The sequence below is a fragment of the Homo sapiens genome, chromosome 11 (genome assembly GCF_000001405.40).
Source record: "Homo sapiens chromosome 11, GRCh38.p14 Primary Assembly".
NCBI lineage: Eukaryota > Metazoa > Chordata > Mammalia > Primates > Hominidae > Homo > Homo sapiens.
This window is the reverse complement of record NC_000011.10, coordinates 85323900-85345224: the sequence shown is the minus strand read 5'-3', so window position 1 is coordinate 85345224 and position 21325 is coordinate 85323900. Positions and strand designations below refer to the sequence as shown.

General features: G+C 38.1%; 1 protein-coding gene and 1 pseudogene across 13 annotated transcripts in view; both read left to right on the top strand.

Annotated features, from left to right (window-relative positions):
- Positions 1–21325, top strand: part of DLG2 (discs large MAGUK scaffold protein 2) — a 2173362-nt gene that overhangs the window by 283149 nt on the left and 1868888 nt on the right. The gene's annotated exons all lie outside the window — the stretch shown is intronic.
- LOC100419092 (REST corepressor 1 pseudogene) lies at positions 8654–9163 on the top strand (annotated as a pseudogene).

The following is a 21325-nucleotide window of genomic DNA, read 5'->3' as shown; positions in this document are numbered from 1 at the left end:
TCCTTATGCAACTTCCAAGATGAATTTTGGCAATATTTAGTATGATTTATAACAAGAATGAAGAGACCGTGTGCATAATGATTTGAAATGGTCTATTTTCACAGTGTTGGCTTTTGTACTTCAACCCTCAATGTGCTTCTTTACTCTTGACATAATGGGAGATATTTTATTTACTTGACTTTCTGGAGTATAGAAACCAACCGTATTGAGTTACTACCTATTCTACTTAAGTACAGTATTTTGCTGTTTTTTTTTTGTTTAAAATTATGTATTTGATTTGAACTTTATTGCTCTGTCTTGAGCAGTGTGTAGCATATGGTGTTACTATCAACTTTTTATTTTCTCTAAGATTTAAAATAAATTCTGTAATGAAGTAATGAAGTTTGAAAAAAAACAAGAGTAAGCAGGAATTGAAAAACATTTAATGACATGTTTAAGGGAAATCCAACTCAGCAATACTAAATAAAAATGAGAAGCAAATCAATCAAGTTATAAAATATAGCCTGTAGGATCCATAATGGAACACCTGGAAGGCAGTTTGAGAAATTATGAAAATACAATCAAAATGATAGATCACTATACTTTGTATAGTGTCTTATTAGAATAAGCAATATTGCATAATATAATCTAAATAGGAAATAAAAGAAACTACAGTGGAAACAGTTTTTACTGAATAAAAGTTCAGAGAGCCTAGTCATGGGCAAGAGAATAGAATTTATATCATAAATTCTTTATATGAAGTAGTTATCATATAAATTCTATTGAAATGAATTTCACGTATCTTTATGTTGGGCTTTATTTCTGCCTCTGTCCGTCATTAGGCTCTAAAGAAGCCCTCTAATTCCCGTAACAAAACTAAGCCTCGAGTTTTTGAGATGGCAATTAGGGACAATCTCTATGAGTCACCTGAGAAAGTCTCATAGAAAAGGTGAAGCTCAGGAGCTAAGAACTGGGGCCTAAGACCAAGATGCCCCATAAGAAGACCTTCCTTTCATTGCCTTGGATGATGAGATTGATCAGATTCAGGAAGCCAACAGGTCTACTTAAGACAATAGCAAGTATTATTTGCATTTTATAGGTGGACAGAGGTACAAAGAAGTAAAATGCTTTATTGAAAGTAACACACAATGGGGGGAGAACTAGAATCAGGTCTCAAGATGATTATTTTGGGTGCTTACTAATCTGCCTGGTATATTTATAAACATAAGATACTGCTATTATTGTTTTTAAAAATTAACTTCCTTCACATCCACTTTTTCAAATCTGTGATTGAGTGGCTTATTACTTCCATTCTGCATCTGTATCCTAATTTTCTTTGCTGAAATGATGTATGATTTCTGGAAACATTTACGCTCAAAGCCCATTTGCCAAGAAAACACTCCCTGTTGCTCACCTAATAGCAACATTTACACTGTATAATCACTGTCATTATCATTGCACTTCAGAAGGTTTTCCTCGCTGCTCTATCAGGTTCCGCCTTCCTCAAAAACCATACATCATCACTCTCTTTTTGTACTTTCAAATGATATGTTCTAGTGTGTATATGTGTGTGTGTGTGTATGTATGTGCGTGTACGCGCGTGTGTGTGTGTGAGAGAGAGAGAGAGAACGTGTGCACACATAAGTGAACTTTTTAGGTCATAATAAGCTGAAAAAAATGCCAAGGCTTGCTGGTAACTTTAGCAATGACTGCTCTTTCACAGGTTTATTCAATACATATTTTATTTAATTAAAAAAAGACACTAAAACTTGACCATGAGTCAGGCATGGTATTAAATCTGGAAATACAAAAATGAACAGGTCACAATCCTGGACCATTAAAAGTTCACCATCTAGTTTAGGGAGGGATAAACAAAGAGGAAATATAGGGGAGAGAGTGCACAAGCTCAGTGTCACTCTGGTAGCAGTTAGACAAATTCAGAAGGTAAGACACACTGAAGGGCTACTAGTTTTGTCCCTTCAGCAAGGCTGTCTCCTGGGAAAAAATGGGAAATAATGGAATTGTGTTGGGTTAAAAGAACACAATGGATATTATAACCAAATGCAATACATAAACCTGGGTTCTGTACTGGTTTGGACAAAGCCATTCAAATGACATTTTTGAGACAGTTAGGGCAATTTGAATATAGACTGTATATTAGAGGAATTGAAAATTTATTGACATATAAAGGTAGAGAATAGTAATGAAAAAACTCACATTACGAAACAGCATTAAAGTTAGGGAGAACTACTTTTTAGAGAGCCAACTGAGGACACAGTCATAGTAGATAAAAAAAGTGCATTAGATACATATGTGTTAGTATATTTCTACATATTACATATATTATACATGTATGTTATTACTTTATTACACACCTTACATACACATATTAAGCTTTGGTAAATGCCAGAGCACTTATATGATGGTGGTCCCATAATATTATAACGGAGCTGAAAAATTTCTGTTATTTAGTGACATTGTAGCTGTTGTAATGTCATAGTACAATGCATTACTCATGCGTTTGTGGCGATGCTGGTATAAACAAACCTACCGTGCTGCCAGTTGTATAAAAGTCTAGCACATACAATTATGCACAGCACGTAATACTTGATAATGATAATAAATGACTGTGTTACTGGTTTATGTGTTTACTGTACTAAACTTTTAAATCATTTTTTAGAGTGTACTCCTTTGACTTATATAAAAAAATAGTTACCTGGAAAACCGTCTCAGGCAGTTCCTTCAGAAAGGTATTCTAGAAGAAGGCATTATTATCAAAGCAGATGACAGCTCCATGCCCCTGAACACCTTCCAGTGGGGCAAAATATGCAGGTGGAAGACAGTGACATTGATGATCCTGACCTCATATAGGCCTAGGCTAATATGTGTGTTTGTGTCTTAGTTTTTAACAAAAAAAGTTTAAAAAGTAAAAAAAAAATTGGTAGAAAAAATCTTAACAAACAAGGATATAAAGAAAGAAAACATGGTGTTCCACTGTACAATGTGTTTGCATTTTAAGCTAAGTGTTATTACAACAGAGTAAAAATGTTTAAAAAATTAGAAAAATTAGAAAGCAAAAAAGTTATATTAAGCTAATGTAATTATTGAAGAAATAAAAGTATTTTAAATATAAATTTAGTGTAACCAAAGTTTAGAGTGTTTATAATGTCTTCAGTGGTGTGTAGTAATGTCCTAGGCCTTCACATGCACTCACCACTCACTCATTGACTCATCAGAGTCCCACAAGCTCCATTCCTGGTAAGGGCCTTATACAGATATCTCATTTGTTATATTTTTTACCATATGTTTATTGTATCTTTTGTATGTGTAGATACACAAATACTTATAATTGTTCTATAATTGCCTACAGTATTCAGTGCAATAACATGCTGTACAGGTTTGTAGCCTACGAGCAATAAGCTACACCATATAGTGTAAGTGTGTAGCAGGCCTTATCACCTAGGCTTGTGTAAGTACACTCTATGATTTTTATAGAATGATGAAATCACCTAATGACACATTTCTCAGAATGTATCCTCATTGTTAAATGATGCATGATTGTACTTTTGTCCTAAAAGTACAATTTTAGGATTGTTTTGTCCTAAAACAAGTATGTTTTAAAATCAAGAAACACTAGTGGCAGTTTTACTAAGATCGGGACTAAGGTACAGATGCCAACTATCTTCACTACTATTAAGCATTGTACTAGATTAATCAGCCAATGCAATTAGGCAAGATAAATCAATTGGAGGCACAAGAACGGGTGAAACAATAAAACTGTCTTTACTCGCAGATGATACACTGTTACATAAAATTTTCATACTTCAGCTAGGCACGGTGGCTCATGCCTGTAATCCCAGCACTTTGGGAGGCCCAGGCGGGCAGATCACGAGGTCAGGAGATGGAGACCATCTTGGCTAACACGGTGAAACCCTGTGTCTACTAAAAATACAAAAAAAATTAGCCAGGCATGTTGGCAGGTGCCTGTAGTCCCAGCTACTCGGGAGGCTGAGGCAGGAGAATGGCATGAACTTGGGAGGTGGAGCTTGCAGTGAGCTGAGATCGTGCCACTACACTCCAGCCTGGGCGACAGAGTGAGGCTCTGTCTCAAAAAACAAAACAAAACAAAACAAAAACAAACAAGAAAAAGCCACAAAATTTTCATACCTTCTACCTCAGAGAATCAATGATTAACTCAACAAGAAAAGAATTCAGTCAAGTAGAATTCAGTCAACCATTAATAAATGGTTCTGAGATAACTGTGTAGCAATTTGAAAAAGATAAAATTAGATCCATATCTCACATCATACACAAAAGTTCACTCCAAATTAATTAGGGATCTAAATATAAGAAATGAAATCCTATAAGTACAACAATGAAACATGCATGAATTCCTCTTTCATCTTGATACAGGGAAATGCTTTCTACTATGACTCAAATTCTAGAGAAAACGAAAGAAAAGATTGATAAATTTGACTACCAATTGCATGACAACTAACACCATAAACAAAATTAAGGACATCTGATGTATAAATAAAATACTCTTAACCTGTACCACAGGCAAAGGGCTAATATTCTTTTTAAAAAAATTTTACCTTTTTAAAAATTATATACTTTAAGTTGTAGGGTACATGTGCACAATGTGCAGGTTTGATACGTAGGTATACATGTGCCATGTTGGTTTACTGCACCCATCAACTCATCATTTACATTAGGTATTTCTCCCAATGCTATCCCTCCCCCAGCCCCCACCCGCCCAACAGGCCCTGGTGTGTGATGTTCCCTGCCCTGTGTCCAAGTGATCTCATTGTTCAATTCCCACATATGAATGAGAACATGCAGTGTTTGGTTTTCTGTCCTTGTGATAGTTTGCTGAGAATGATGGTTTCCAGCTTCATCCATGTCCCTGCAAAGGACATGAACTCATCCTTTTTTATAGCTGCATAGTACTCCATGGTGTATATGTGCCACATTTTCTTAATTTAGTCTATCATTGATGGGCATTTGGGTTGGTTCCAAGTCTTTGCTATTGTGAATAGTGCCACAATAAACATATGTGTGCATGTGTCTTTATAGTAGCATGATTTATAATCCTTTGGGTATATACCAAGTAATGGGATTGCTGGGTCAAATGGTAATTCTAGTTCTAGATCCTTGAGGAATCGCCACACTGTCTTCCACAATGGTTGAACCAATTTACACTAGCACCAACAGTGTAAAAGCATTCCTATTTCTCAACATCCTGTCCAGCATCTGTTGTTTCCTGATTTTTTAATGACCTCCATTCTAACTGGCGTGAGATGGTATCTCATTGTGGTTTTGATTTGCATTTCTCTGATGACCAGTGATGATGAGCATTTTTTCATGTGTCTGTTGGCTCCATAGATGTCTTCTTTTGAGAAGTGTCTGTTCATATCCTTTGCCCACTTTTTGATGCGGTTGTTTGCTTTTTCCTTGTAAATTTGTTTGAGTTCTTTGTAGATTCTGGATATTAGCCCACAAAGGGCTAATATTCTTAATATACAAAGAAGTCTTAAAGACTGAGGGACAAATGACTGAAAAGCCAATAAAAATTTTTGAAAAATATAAGAACAGAAAATTCACAAGAAATAAAAGTGGCACAGAAATATATGAACAAATGCTCAAATTCACTTTCATTTAGAGAAATACAAATGTAAATAGCACTGAGACATCATTTTTTCCCTTATAAAAAATATAACACATTCTATTTGCAAGGCTGTGCAGAAACAGAAATTTTCATATATTGGTGATGTCAATGCAAATTGATATAACCCTTCTGGAGGGAAAATGGACAATACCTAGTAAAAAATTACAGGTGCATTTACCTTTCAGCCCAGTAATCCTTCTTGTAGCAATGTATCCTAAAGAGATAACTCCAATAAAACAAAAATATATATGCAGAAAATTATTCATTATAGCATGGTTTCTAATTATAAAAAATTGCAAACAACTTACATGTTCATATGTAGGAGAGCAACTACATAAGCTATGGCAAATCCACATGGAGTACTGTACATCTGTTAAGAAAGAATAAGGAAGATCTGTACAGACTGATATGGTATCATTTTCAGAACACACTGTCAAATAAAAAAAGCAAAGCTCAAAAGAAAAATATAATATTCTACTCTTTATGTAAGAAATAAGGGGATCTAAAAAATACACAGATGTCTGCTTATTTGTGTGAAGGAAATACAGGTAGGATATATCAGAAACCAGATAAATTAATTACACATGGCCGGGCGTGGTGGCTCACCCCTGTAATCCCAGCACTTTGGGAGGCCGAGGCGGGCGGATCACGAGGTCAGGAGATTGAGACCACGGTGAAACCCCGTCTCTACTAAAAGTACAAAAGATTAGCCGGGCACGGTGGTGGGCTCCTGTAGTCCCAGCTACTCAGGAGGCTGAGGCAGGAGAATGGAGTGAACCCGGGAGGCGGAGCCTGCAGTGAGCCGAGATCGCGTCACTGCACTCCAGCTGGGCGACAGAGCAAGACTCCGTCTCAAAAAAAAAAAAAAAAAAAAAATTATTTATACACAGAGGGTGTGTGGGAAAGGATGGAAGGAAGTGATGCAGTGGGCTTTAGGTAGCAGGATGTGATATACTTATCTGAGTATATCTTTTCAAATAATCTGGTAATATGGAAATATTACTATAGTAATATTTCAGATACCCTTCACACACCACCAAACTAAACAACACTAACCAGGATATAGATTGAACCCACAAAGGAATATCAATACTAAGAAATGAACCTAATTGTATTATAGATGGATGACCTAACCACACTGCAGTGGATGGGAAAGAAAAGAACTGATTTAAGTAACTGTGAAAACATTATCATAATTGAATACTGCAAGCTGGGGACAAAGTGATTTGTACATAAATGCTGTTCCAAGTATTGATGCCAAATGAATTCCCTTTTAATTTATTGTGAGATTCTTTTGATTTACGTTTTTCTTGTGTTACTTGGTTGCTACTATTTATTGTCTTACAGAATACTCCTTTTTGGATTTCCCTTTTTTCCCTAGAGTTAACAATAGAATATAATTTTCATTTAAGATGCATTTATTGAAAACATTCTCTACTATTAACTCTTTAAATATTGCCTCTCTTTTATTCTTGCTCTTCTTTCCTTTAGGTAGTTGAATATGCTATATGTTTCTTGTGTCTCTCTTATATTTCTTATTACTTTGTGACTCTGAGCTGCATTCTGGGTAAGTTTTTATATTAGCACTATCTTCCACCTTATTAATTATTTCTGCAGCTATGTACAATCTTCAGTTTAACTAGTCAAGTGAATTTTTAACTTTAATGATTACATTTAATATTTCTAGATGTTCTAATTTGTTCTTTCGAAAATCTGCCTGGGTACATTTGGCAGTGTTTTTGTTTCTTCAATACACCAATGCTTCACTTAACAATGGGGTATTTGAGAAAAGGGTCATTAGGCAGTTTTGTCATTGTGAAAGAAGCAGAAATGGTAGACGAAAGATATTTTCTTCCAGTGTAGAGCACCAGGAAGGACTTATCTAGACTTTACTGAGCCTAATCAGCATAAGCAGATGAACTTAGGCATTCTGGAACTGTGATAGAGAAATCCTCTCATGCTGGCAATCACCTGTAATAATAAAGTTTTAGAGATGGAATTTTTTGTGTTACCTAAGATGTTTGCTAAAAATGTACAGTCTTGCATCTTACACCCAATAATTCTGATTCAGAAACTTTGATATGGATCCCAGGAAATTTCATTTTAACATAAATACCCGAGGTAATTCTAATAAACACTAAGTTTAGGAATCATTACCTAGAAGTGTGTACATCAGATTAAAATTAGAATATCTAGCCAGGCCTGATGGTTCAGGCGTGTAATCATAACACTTTGGGAAGCCGAGACAGGAGGATCACTTGAAGCTAGGAGTTTGAGACCAGCCTAGGCAATACAGAGAGACATTGTCTCTACAAAAAAGAAAAAGAAAAAGAATTAAAATATTTTTAACAGAATAATTCAGTGACATAGATATATTTTAATTATATTTGGAAATAAGATCCACGATGAATTTATGCTGCGAATTAATAGTTTAGGCTCACATATTATTACTTAAGTGTCCTAGCCTTTCGGAATGATTTAAACTTTATTGAACTACGCAAATTTTGGTTCAGTTGATTCAATGAAGAGCTCATTTTTGCCTTTTATTTATTTATGTATTTTAAGAAAGCATGTGAATAATAGTTTTTGTGTCAAACTAGGAAAATCATGACTACAGTGGAAGCCAGTACTTCCTAAAGCCAGTATTTCTTAAAGCCTATGGATGAATGCTAGAGTCATATGAGATGCTAAAAGGTGATTTGTGAGAAAATGGATTGATGGTTAATTTTTTCCATTAAATAGTGGGTTAAAGTTAAAAGAATACTAATGAAGTGAAAGTGGTCATAAGACCAAAATTGCTCAGTTTGGCACTGGGAGATTGAAGCAACTGTGCTCTGCTCTGCTCATCTGGGCCTGCCCCAGCTCTAACTTGCACCTGTGGGCTCCTACTTTGCCTAAAAGGCCCCACACCCACCCCATGTCCACCCACATTCCCTCCTCCTGGCTCAGGACCCCATCCTCAGGAGCTGTGGGTCCCCAGCACTTTTGCCCCTGCTGATGCCAGTCATGGTGGAGAAGGGCCCTGAGGTCTCAGAGAAGTGGAGAGGGAGGAACAACACAGCTATGTTGGCCACCTCCTCAGCTGCTGCTACCACCTTGGCCACCCATGCCTTGCCCACATCTTTGTCCACTGCCACCACCTACACCTCAGCTGCTGCTGCCTCAACTGCCACTGCTCCCAGTAATAGCCAGAATAAAAATTTGGCAGGGGGGGATCTCAATGGCAATGGCAGCAGAACCTCCTGGGATGAAGGCAGATCATTTGGGCTTGTCCAGCCATGGGGAGCACAGTGGTGGTGGCATAAGGGGCAGACCCCAGTACCAGGTGGTGGTGACTGACTTCAACCCCACCAAACTGGCAAGATGCAGCCAAGACTGGGACAGTCTTGGCATGTTGGTGTGGTCACCAAATCAGAATGAGTCAGAAGCAAAGCTGGTTGAGTACATTGCCATTGCCAGAAAAAATATGGGTACACCATGGAACAGGCTCTTGGGATGCTCTTTTGGCAATACAAAGGGAACCGCATCAGGTTAATAGTGTGCCCTTCAGTGAAACCTTACAAGGGAGAAAAGATTGGAGGCCTATATTCAGCATGTGCAAATAGAAGATATTTCAACCAAGAATTTTTTTTTATTATACTTTAAGTTCTGGGGTACATGTGCAGAACATGCAGGTTTGTTACATAGGTGTACACATACCATGGTGGTTTGCTGCACCCATTAACTCGTCATCTACATTAGGTATTTCTCCTAATGCTATCCCTCCCCTAGTCCCCCACCCCCTGATAGGTCCTGGTGTGTGATGCCCTCCGCCCCCATCTCCATGTGTTCTCATTGTTCAACTCACAATTATGAGTGAGAACATGCGGTGTTTGTCATCCAAGCATTTTATATCCAGCCAAACTAAGCTTCATAAGCAAAGGAGAAATAAAATCCTTTTTAGACAAGCAAATGCTAAGTGTATTCATTACTATAAGGCCTCTTACAAGAGGTCCTTAAAGGAGAGCTAAACATGGAAATAGAAGATCAGTACTTGCCATTACAAAGAGACACATAATAACATAGTCCATTGAGACTATAAAGCAATTACACAATCAAGTCTACATAACAACTAGCTAACATGATGACAAGATCAAGTCCTCACATATCAATATAACCTTGAAGGTAAATGGGCTAAATGCCCCAATAAAAGGCAAAGAGTGGCAAATTGGATAAAGAAGAAAGACCCAACTGTATGCTGTCTTTAAGAGACCCGTCTCACATGCAGTGACACCCATAGCTCAAAGTAAAAGGATGGAAAAAGATTTATTAAACAAACAGAAAACAAAAAAAAAAAGCAGAGATGCTGTTATTTCACATTATTATTTCACACAAAGTGACTTTAATATTGATCAAAGAGGACAAAGGGCACAATGATAAAGCATTCAATTCAACGAGAAGACTTAACTATCCTAAATATATATGCACCCAACACTGGAGCACTCTGATTCACAAAACAAGTTCTTATGGGTCTTCAAAGAGACTTAGATAACTACAGAAAAGTAGTGGGAGACTTCAATACCCCATTGACAGTATTAGAGAGATCATTGAGAAAACCAACAAAGACATTCAGGACCTAAACTCAAGACTTGACCAGAGGACCTAACGGACATCTACAGAATACTCTACCCAACAACAACAGAATATACATTATTTTCATTGTCACATGAAACATACTCACAAATTGACCACATGCTCAGCCATAAAGCAGTTCTCTACAATTTAATAAAAATGAAATCATACCAACCACACTCTCAGACCACAGTGAAATAACAATGGAAATTAATACCAAGAAGATATCTCAAAACAATACAATTATATGGAAATTAAGTAATCTGCTCCAGAATTGTTATTGGGTAAAGAATGAAATTAAGGCAGAAATCAAACAATTCTTTAGAACCAATGAAAAAAAGATATACCAAAATCTCTGGGACACAGCTAAAGCAGTGTTAAGAGGAAAGTTTATAGAGCTAAAAGCCCATGTTAACAAGTTACAAAGGTCTCAAATTGAGAATCTAACACTATACCTAGAGAAACTAGAGAAAACAAGAGCAAACTAATGCTAAAGCTAGAAGGAGAAGAGAAATAAAAATCAGAACTTAATACAACAAAATTGAGACATGAAAATTTATACAAAATATAGATGAAACAAAAAATTTGTTCTTTAAAAGAATACATAAGATTGATAAACTGCTAGCTAGAATAATAAATAAAAAAAGAGAGAAGATCCAAGTAAACACAACCAGAAATGACAAAGGAGACATTACTACTGACCCCAAAGGAATACAAAAAATCCTCAGAAACTATTATGAATACTTCTATGCACAGAAACTAGAGAACCTAGAAGTAATGGATAAACTCCTAGAACCATAAAATGTCCCAAGATTGAACCAGGAAGAAATTGAAACCCTGAACAGACCAATAATGAATTCTGACATTGAATCAGTAGTAAAATACCTACTAACCAGAAAAAGCCCAGGATGAAATGGATTCACAGCTGAATTCTACCAGATGTATAAAGCAGAGCTGGTACAAATCCTACTGAAACTACTCCAGAGAAGCAAGAAGGAGGACTCCTCTCTAACTCATTCTGTGAGGGCAGGATCATTCTGATACCAAAACCTGTCAGAGACACAGTGAAAAAAAAAAACCAACTTCAGGCCAATATCCCAGGTAAACATAGGTGCAAAAATCCTCAACCAAATACTAGCAAACTGAATCCAGCAGCACATCAAAATTCAAATCCACCACAATCAGGTAGGCTTTATCCCTGGGATGCAAACTTGGTTCAACATATGGAAATCAATAAATTTGATTCATCACATAAACAGAACTAAAACCAAAAACCACATGAGCATCTCACCAGATTCAGAAAAAGCTTTCGATAAAATTGAAAATCTCCCCATGTCAAAACCCCTTAACAAATAGGCATCAAAGGAACATACCTCAGAATAAGAGCCTCTATGGCAAACCCACAGCCAACATCATACTAAATGGGCAAAAGGTGGAAGCAATCCCTCTGAGAACTGGAACAAGACAAGGATCACCACTCTCACCACTCCTATTTAATGTAATACTGAAAGTCCTAGCCAGAGCAACCAGGCAAGAAAAATAAATAAAAGACATTCAGATAGGAAGTTGAACTATCTCTTTTCACAGATGATATGATTTTATACCCAGACAACCCTATAGTCTCTGCCAAGAAGATCCTAGAACTGATAAACAACTTCAATAAAATTTCAGGATTCAAAATCTATGTACAGGAATTAGTAGCATTTCTATATACCACTATCATCTAAGCTGAGAGCCAATCAAGAACACAAGCCCATTTACAATAGCCACAAAATAATGAAATACATAGGAATATAGCTAATCAGGGAGGTAAAAAATCTCTGCAATGAGAACACTTGCTGAAAGAATTCAGAGAAGACACAAACAAATGGAAAATTATTCCATGCTCATGGATAGGAAGAATCAATATTGTTAAAATGGCCATACGATCAAAGGAATGTAAAGATTCAATGCTATTCGTATCAAACTAGCAATGACATTTTTCAAAGAATTAGAAAAAGGTATTCAAAAATTCATATTAAATATAAAAGAGTTTGAATAGCCAAAGTAATCCTAAGCCAAAAGAACAAAGCTGGAGGCATCATACTCTCTGACTTCAAACTATACTACAAGTCTACAGTAACCAAAATAACATGGGACTTGCAGGAAAACAGACAGACCAATGGAGCAAGTTAGAGAACCTGGAAATAAATCCACACACCTACAGTCATCTGATCTTTGAGAGGGTCGACAATAATAACAATGGGGAAAGTACTCCCTATTCAATAAATGGTTCTGGTATAACTGGCCAGTCATACACAGAAGATTGAAACTGGACCCCTTCCTTTCACCATATACAAGAATGAACTCAAGATGGGTTGAAGACTTATATTTAAGATCTAAAACTATAAAACCTCTGTGAGAAAATCTAAAACGTATCATTCTGGCATCAGCTCTGGCATTTCATGATGAAGTCTCCAAAAACAATTCCAACAAAAAGAAAAAATAGACAAGAGGGACTTAGTTAAATTAAAAAGCTTCTGCAAAATAAAAGGACCCATAGAGAGTAGACAACCTGCAGAATGGGAGAAAATATTTGCAATCTGTGCATTCAACAGAGGTCTAATAGCCAGGATCTATAAACAACTTGAACAAATCAACAAGCAAGAAACAGACAACCTAATAAAAAATGGGCAAAGAACATCAACAGATACTTCTTAAAGGAAGACATACTTATGGACAACAAACACATGAACAAATGTTTATTATCACTAATCATGATAGAAACTCATTTCAAAACTACAATGAGATACCATCTCAAACCAGTCAGAGTAGCTATTATTAAAAAGTTAGAAAATAACAGATTTTGGTAAGGTTGAAGAGGAAAGGGAATTCTTATAGATTGTTGGTGTGAGTATAAATTAGTTCAGCCACCATGGAAAGCTGTTTGGAGATTTCTCAAAGAACTTAAAACAATTACCATTCAATCCAGCAATGCCATTACTGGGTATATACCCCAAAGGAATACAAACCATTCTACCCAAAAGACATATGTACTTGTATGTTTATTGTAGCACTATTTATAATAGCAAAGACATGGAATTAACCTAGATGCCCATCAGTGGTGGATGGATAAAGCAAATGTGGTACATTTACACCATGAAATACTATGCAGCCATAAAAGAACAAAATTGTGTCAAATGCAGCAACTGGTATGCAGCTGGATGTCATTATCCTAACCAAATTAACACAGAAATAGAAAACTAAATACTTCATGTTTTCACGTATATGCAGAGCTAAACTTTAAGTACACATGGATACAAAGAGGGGAATCATAGCCACCGGGGCCTACTACTTCAGGTGGCAGGTGGCAGAAGAATGAGGTTTGATGAACTACCTATCAGGCACTATGCTTACTACCTAGATAATAAAATTATTTGTACACTAAATCCCAGTGGCATGCAATTTACCCATGTAACAGACCTGCATATGCACGCCCAATTCTAAAGTAAAAGTTGAAAAAGAAATAAAAAAGAAAACCAGGCTTTTGGAATTAACAACAAAATGTAATAAAGAAAAAGAAGGGCAAGGCACACAAAAAGAAGTTAAATGATTTTATTACCGCTAGCATCTTTAAAAGTGAATATGCATTTGTATACATTTACCTCTAAGAGGTATATATATTGAACTTTTTTTGGCCAGGAACCCTTTTTATAGGGCGTCTATTTACATATTTTGTCATATTAATGTTCTCATTAACAGTTTTGGCCTGCTAGTTGAAACCCATGCCACATGTCCATAGGCCATGACAACATACTACAAAATCAGGTTCAGATCTTTAGAAAACAGAAGTTATATTCTTGGAAAAAATAAAGTGAATGTCAACATTATGGGTTTATTTTTGTACTTGGGCATATTTTAGAATTTTATCATTTCATATATTTTAAACTTAATACAGATGAGCTTCGTGCCTCATATAAATAGTTTGTATTTTATCATCCCTGCATGTTACCGTGATTCATTTCAAGTGTAGTAATACTCAGTATACATGGGAAATCCCAATAATCACTTTCCACATTGTGGGAAACCACCAGGTGGAAGTAAGGGTTTATGTATGAGAATTTGAGCAGACTCTGGAAAAGAAATAAAAAAATTTACATCCCAACTTCTTTTTCTTTTTTTTTTTTTTTTTTTTAATTTTTTTTTTTTTATTATACTCTAAGTTTTAGGGTACATGTGCACATTGTGCAGGTTAGTTACATATGTATACATGTGCCATGCTGGTGCGCTGCACCCACTAACGTGTCATCTAGCATTAGGTATATCTCCCAATGCTATCCCTCCCCCCTCCCCCGACCCCACCACAGTCCCCAGAGTGTGATATTCCCCTTCCTGTGTCCAAGTGATCTCATTGTTCAGTTCCCACCTATGAGTGAGAATATGCGGTGTTTGGTTTTTTGTTCTTGCGATAGTTTACTGAGAATGATGGTTTCCAATTTCATCCATGTCCCTACAAAGGACATGAACTCATCATTTTTTATGGCTGCATAGTATTCCATGGTGTATATGTGCCACATTTTCTTAATCCAGTCTATCATTGTTGGACATTTGGGTTGGTTCCAAGTCTTTGCTGTTGTGAATAGTGCCGCAATAAACATACGTGTGCATGTGTCTTTATAGCAGCATGATTTATAGTCCTTTGGGTATATACCCAGTAATGGGATGGCTGGGTCAAATGGTATTTCTAGTTCTAGATCCCTGAGGAATCGCCACACTGACTTCCACAATGGTTGAACTAGTTTACAGTCCCACCAACAGTGTAAAAGTGTTCCTATTTCTCCACATCCTCTCCAGCACCTGTTGTTTCCTGACTTTTTAATGATTGCCATTCTAACTGGTGTGAGATGATATCTCATAGTGGTTTTGATTTGCATTTCTCTGATGGCCAGTGATGATGAGCATTTCTTCATGTGTTTTTTGGCTGCATAAATGTCTTCTTTTGAGAAGTGTCTGTTCATGTCCTTCGCCCACTTTTTGATGGGGTTGTTTGTTTTTTTCTTGTAAATTTGTTTGAGTTCATTGTAGATTCTGGATATTAGCCCTTTGTCAGATGAGTAGGTTGCGAAAATTTTCTCCCATGTTGTAGGTTGCCTGTTCACTCTGATGGTAGTTTCTTTTGCTGTGCAGAAGCTCTTTAGTTTAATTAGATCCCATTTGTCAATTTTGGCTTTTGTTGCCATTGCTTTTGGTGTTTTGGACATGAAGTCCTTGCCCACGCCTATGTCCTGAATGGTAATGCCTAGGTTTTCTTCTAGGGTTTTTATGGTTTTAGGTCTAACGTTTAAATCTTTAATCCATCTTGAATTGATTTTTGTATAAGGTGTAAGGAAGGGATCCAGTTTCAGCTTTCTACATATGGCTAGCCAGTTTTCCCAGCACCATTTATTAAATAGGGAATCCTTTCCCCATTGCTTGTTTTTCTCAGGTTTGTCAAAGATCAGATAGTTGTAGATATGTGGCATTATTTCTGAGGGCTCTGTTCTGTTCCATTGATCTATATCTCTGTTTTGGTACCAGTACCATGCTGTTTTGGTTACTGTAGCCTTGTAGTATAGTTTGAAGTCAGGTAGTGTGATGCCTCCAGCTTTGTTCTTTTGGCTTAGGATTGACTTGGCGATGCGGGCTCTTTTTTGGTTCCATATGAACTTTAAAGTAGTTTTTTCCAATTCTGTGAAGAAAGTCATTGGTAGCTTGATGGGGATGGCATTGAATCTGTAAATTACCTTGGGCAGTATGGCCATTTTCACGATATTGATTCTTCCTACCCATGAGCATGGAATGTTCTTCCATTTGTTTGTGTCCTCTTTTATTTCCTTGAGCAGTGGTTTGTAGTTCTCCTTGAAGAGGTCCTTCACATCCCTTGTAAGTGGGATTCCTAGGTATTTTATTCTCTTTGAAGCAATTGTGAATGGGAGTTCACTCATGATTTGGCTCTCTGTTTGTCTGTTGTTGGTGTATAAGAATGCTTGTGATTTTTGTACATTGATTTTGTAGCCTGAGACTTTGCTGAAGTTGCTTATCAGCTTAAGGAGATTTTGGGCTGAGACGATGGGGTTTTCTAGATAAACAATCATGTTGTCTGCAAACAGGGACAATTTGACTTCCTCTTTTCCTAATTGAATACCCTTTATTTCCTTCTCCTGCCTGATTGCCCTGGCCAGAACTTCCAACACTATGTTGAATAGGAGCGGTGAGAGAGGGCATTCTTGTCTTGTGCCGGTTTTCAAAGGGAATGCTTCCAGTTTTTGCCCATTCAGTATGATATTGGCTGTGGGTTTGTCATAGATAGCTCTTATTATTTTGAAATACGTCCCATCAATACCTAATTTATTGAGAGTTTTTAGCATGAAGGGTTGTTGAATTTTGTCAAAGGCTTTTTCTGCATCTATTGAGATAATCATGTGGTTTTTGTCTTTGGCTCTGTTTATATGCTGGATTACATTTATTGATTTGCGTATATTGAACCAGCCTTGCATCCCAGGGATGAAGCCCACTTGATCATGGTGGATAAGCTTTTTGATGTGCTGCTGGATTTGGTTTGCCAGTATTTTATTGAGGATTTTTGCATCAATGTTCATCAAGGATATTGGTCTAAAATTCTCTTTTTTGGTTGTGTCTCTGCCCTGCTTTGGTATCAGAATGATGCTGGCCTCATAAAATGAGTTAGGGAGGATTCCCTCTTTTTCTATTGATTGGAATAGTTTCAGAAGGAATGGTACCAGTTCCTCCTTGTACCTCTGGTAGAATTCGGCTGTGAATCCATCTGGTCCTGGACTCTTTTTGGTTGGTAAACTATTGATTATTGCCACAATTTCAGAGCCTGTTATTGGTCTATTCAGAGATTCAACTTCTTCCTGGTTTAGTCTTGGGAGAGTGTATGTGTCGAGGAATGTATCCATTTCTTCTAGATTTTCTAGTTTATTTGCGTAGAGGTGTTTGTAGTATTCTCTGATGGTAGTTTGTATTTCTGTGGGATCGGTGGTGATATCCCCTTTATCATTTTTTATTGTGTCTATTTGATTCTTCTCTCTTTTTTTCTTTATTAGTCTTGCTAGCGGTCTATCAATTTTGTTGATCCTTTCAAAAAACCAGCTCCTGGATTCATTGATTTTTTGAAGGGTTTTTTGTGTCTCTATTTCCTTCAGTTCTGCTCTGATTTTAGTTATTTCTTGCCTTCTGCTAGCTTTTGAATGTGTTTGCTCTTGCTTTTCTAGTTCTTTTAATTGTGATGTTAGGGTGTCAATTTTGGATCTTTCCTGCTTTCTCTTGTAGGCATTTAGTGCTATAAATTTCCCTCTACACACTGCTTTGAATGCGTCCCAGAGATTCTGGTATGTGGTGTCTTTGTTCTCGTTGGTTTCAAAGAACATCTTTATTTCTGCCTTCATTTCGTTATGTACCCAGTAGTCATTCAGGAGCAGGTTGTTCAGTTTCCATGTAGTTGAGCGGCTTTGAGTGAGATTCTTAATCCTGAGTTCTAGTTTGATTGCACTGTGGTCTGAGAGATAGTTTGTTATAATTTCTGTTCTTTTACATTTGCTGAGGAGAGCTTTACTTCCAACTATGTGGTCAATTTTGGAATAGGTGTGGTGTGGTGCTGAAAAAAATGTATATTCTGTTGATTTGGGGTGGAGAGTTCTGTAGATGTCTATTAGGTCTGCTTGGTGCAGAGCTGAGTTCAATTCCTGGGTATCCTTGTTGACTTTCTGTCTCGTTGATCTGTCTAATGTTGACAGTGGGGTGTTAAAGTCTCCCATTATTAATGTGTGGGAGTCTAAGTCTCTTTGTAGGTCACTCAGGACTTGCTTTATGAATCTGGGTGCTCCTGTATTGGGTGCATAAATATTTAGGATAGTTAGCTCCTCTTGTTGAATTGATCCCTTTACCATTATGTAATGGCCTTCTTTGTCTCTTTTGATCTTTGTTGGTTTAAAGTCTGTTTTATCAGAGACTAGGATTGCAACCCCTGCCTTTTTTTGTTTTCCATTGGCTTGGTAGATCTTCCTCCATCCTTTTATTTTGAGCCTGTGTGTGTCTCTGCACGTGAGATGGGTTTCCTGAATACAGCACACTGATGGGTCTTGGCTCTTTATCCAACTTGCCCGTCTGTGTCTTTTAATTGCAGAATTTAGTCCATTTATATTTAAAGTTAATATTGTTATGTGTGAATTTGATCCTGTCATTATGATGTTAGCTGGTGATTTTGCTCATTAGTTGATGCAGTTTCTTCCTAGTCTCGATGGTCTTTACATTTTGGCATGATTTTGCAGCGGCTGGTACCGGTTGTTCCTTTCCATGTTTAGCGCTTCCTTCAGGAGCTCTTTTAGGGCAGGCCTGGTGGTGACAAAATCTCTCAGCATTTGCTTGTCTATAAAGTATTTTATTTCTCCTTCACTTATGAAGCTTAGTTTGGCTGGATATGAAATTCTGGGTGGAAAATTCTTTTCTTTAAGAATGTTGAATATTGGCCCCCACTCTCTTCTGGCTTGTAGGGTTTCTGCCGAGAGATCCGCTGTTAGTCTGATGGGCTTTCCTTTGAGGGTAACCCGACCTTTCTCTCTGGCTGCCCTTAACATTTCTTCCTTCATTTCAACTTTGGTGAATCTGACAATTATGTGTCTTGGAGTTGCTCTTCTCGAGGAGTATCTTTGTGGCGTTCTCTGTATTTCCCGAATCTGAACGTTGGCCTGCCTTGCTAGATTGGGGAAGTTCTCCTGGATAATATCCTGCAGAGTGTTTTCCAACTTGGTTCCATTCTCCACATCACTTTCAGGTACACCAATCAGACGTAGATTTGGTCTTTTCACATAGTCCCATATTTCTTGGAGGCTTTGCTCATTTCTTTTTATTCTTTTTTCTCTAAACTTCCCTTCTCGCTTCATTTCATTCATTTCATCTTCCATTGCTGATACCCTTTCTTCCAGTTGATCGCATCGGCTCCTGAGGCTTCTGCATTCTTCACGTAGTTCTCGAGCCTTGGTTTTCAGCTCCATCAGCTCCTTTAAGCACTTCTCTGTATTGGTTATTCTAGTTATACATTCTTCTAAATTTTTTTCAAAGTTTTCAACTTCTTTGCCTTTGGTTTGAATGTCCTCCCGTAGCTCAGAGTAATTTGATCATCTGAAGCCTTCTTCTCTCAGCTCGTCAAAATAATTCTCCATCCAGCTTTGTTCCGTTGCTGGTGAGGAACTGCGTTCCTTTGGAGGAGGAGAGGCGCTCTGCGTTTTAGAGTTTCCAGTTTTTCTGTTCTGTTTTTTCCCCATCTTTGTGGTTTTATCTACTTTTGGTCTTTGATGATGGTGATGTACAGATGGGTTTTCGGTGTGGATGTCCTTTCTGGTTGTTAGTTTTCCTTCTAACAGACAGGACCCTCAGCTGCAGGTCTGTTGGAATACCCTGCCGTGTGAGGTGTCAGTGTGCCCCTGCTGGGGGGTGCCTCCCAGTTAGGCTGCTCGGGGGTCAGGGGTCAGGGACCCACTTGAGGAGGCAGTCTGCCCGTTCTCAGATCTCCAGCTGTGTGCTGGGAGAACCACTGCTCTCTTCAAAGCTGTCAGACAGGGACACTTAAGTCTGCAGAGGTTACTGCTGTCTTTTTGTTTGTCTGTGCCCTGCCCCCAGACGTGGAGCCTACAGAGGCAGACAGGCCTCCTTGAGCTGTGGTGGGCTCCGCCCAGTTCGAGCTTCCCAGCTGCTTTGTTTACCTAAGCAAGCCTGGGCAATGGCGGGCGCCCCTCCCCCAGCCTCGTTGCCGCCTTGCAGTTTGATCTCAGACTGCTGTGCTAGCAATCAGCGAGATTCCGTGGGCGTAGGACCCTCTGAGCCAGGTGTGGGATATAGTCTCGTGGTGCGCCGTTTCTTAAGCCGGTCTGAAAAGCGCAATATTCGGGTGGGAGTGACCCAATTTTCCAGGTGCGTCCGTCACCCCTTTCTTTGACTCGGAAAGGGAACTCCCTGACCCCTTGCGCTTCCCAGGTGAGGCAATGCCTCGCCCTGCTTCGGCTCGCGCACGGTGCGCACACACACTGGCCTGCGCCCACTGTCTGGCACTCCCTAGTGAGATGAACCCGGTACCTCAGATGGAAATGCAGAAATCACCCGTCTTCTGCGTCGCTCACGCTGGGAGCTGTAGACCGGAGCTGTTCCTATTCGGCCATCTTGGCTCCTCCCTCCCCAACTTCTTTTTCTTCTTTAAGCACACCGTTTTTCAGTCACCTAAAAATTATTTCTTTTGGTCCTGAATTCTTCACAAATACAGCAAACCTCAAAACCTCTTGTGTAGCTTTTTTCTGTAGGCAGCCGTTTTCAGGTATGTTAGAAACTACTAAAGATAGAGCAATGTTTATAAAAATCTAGATTTCAGCTTTTACTTTTCTTTAGGAAATGGGGATGATGCTCCGAAAGTTTAATAATACCAGTGTATCAGTAATCAGATGTTCAGATGATTTTAGTCTTTCCCGAATTTTTGATGAAAATCTTAAAGGCAAAATAAGGTGTTAAATTCAACTCAACATATACATTTTGAGTTCTAACTCTGTAGTAAGAGCTAAGGATATAATGGTGATAGAAATATAAGGCTACCTCTATGAAACTTATAGTCTATCTAGCAGGAAAGCTAGATAGAAGGTGTGATGTCAACAAGGCGGTGGAATAAAAAATATCCTGGCATCACTCCACCAAAAAAATACAAGTAGAAGCTATTCAAAGACAGGAATTCTGGTGAACTCAGGGGAGAAGTGGAGAAGCTCTCTGGGCCTACATAATTCAGAGAAGCCATGTCTGGTGACTTAAATAAATGGTCATTTCAGACTGTGTGACCCCCTACCCCAAGCAAGGACGATGTCACTTACAGAGAACTTCTTTAGACCCATGGTTTCTGAGGTGAGAGGAGAGAATTGGAGTTAGATGTTCACTCCCCACCAGTCTGAGAATCTTTGCTGGAAGCCCACTACCATCCACTTACATGGGAACAATTGGAAGTGACAGGAGGGCTGAGCCACCTGTGGTGAATTGGCAAAGTGTCCATCAACA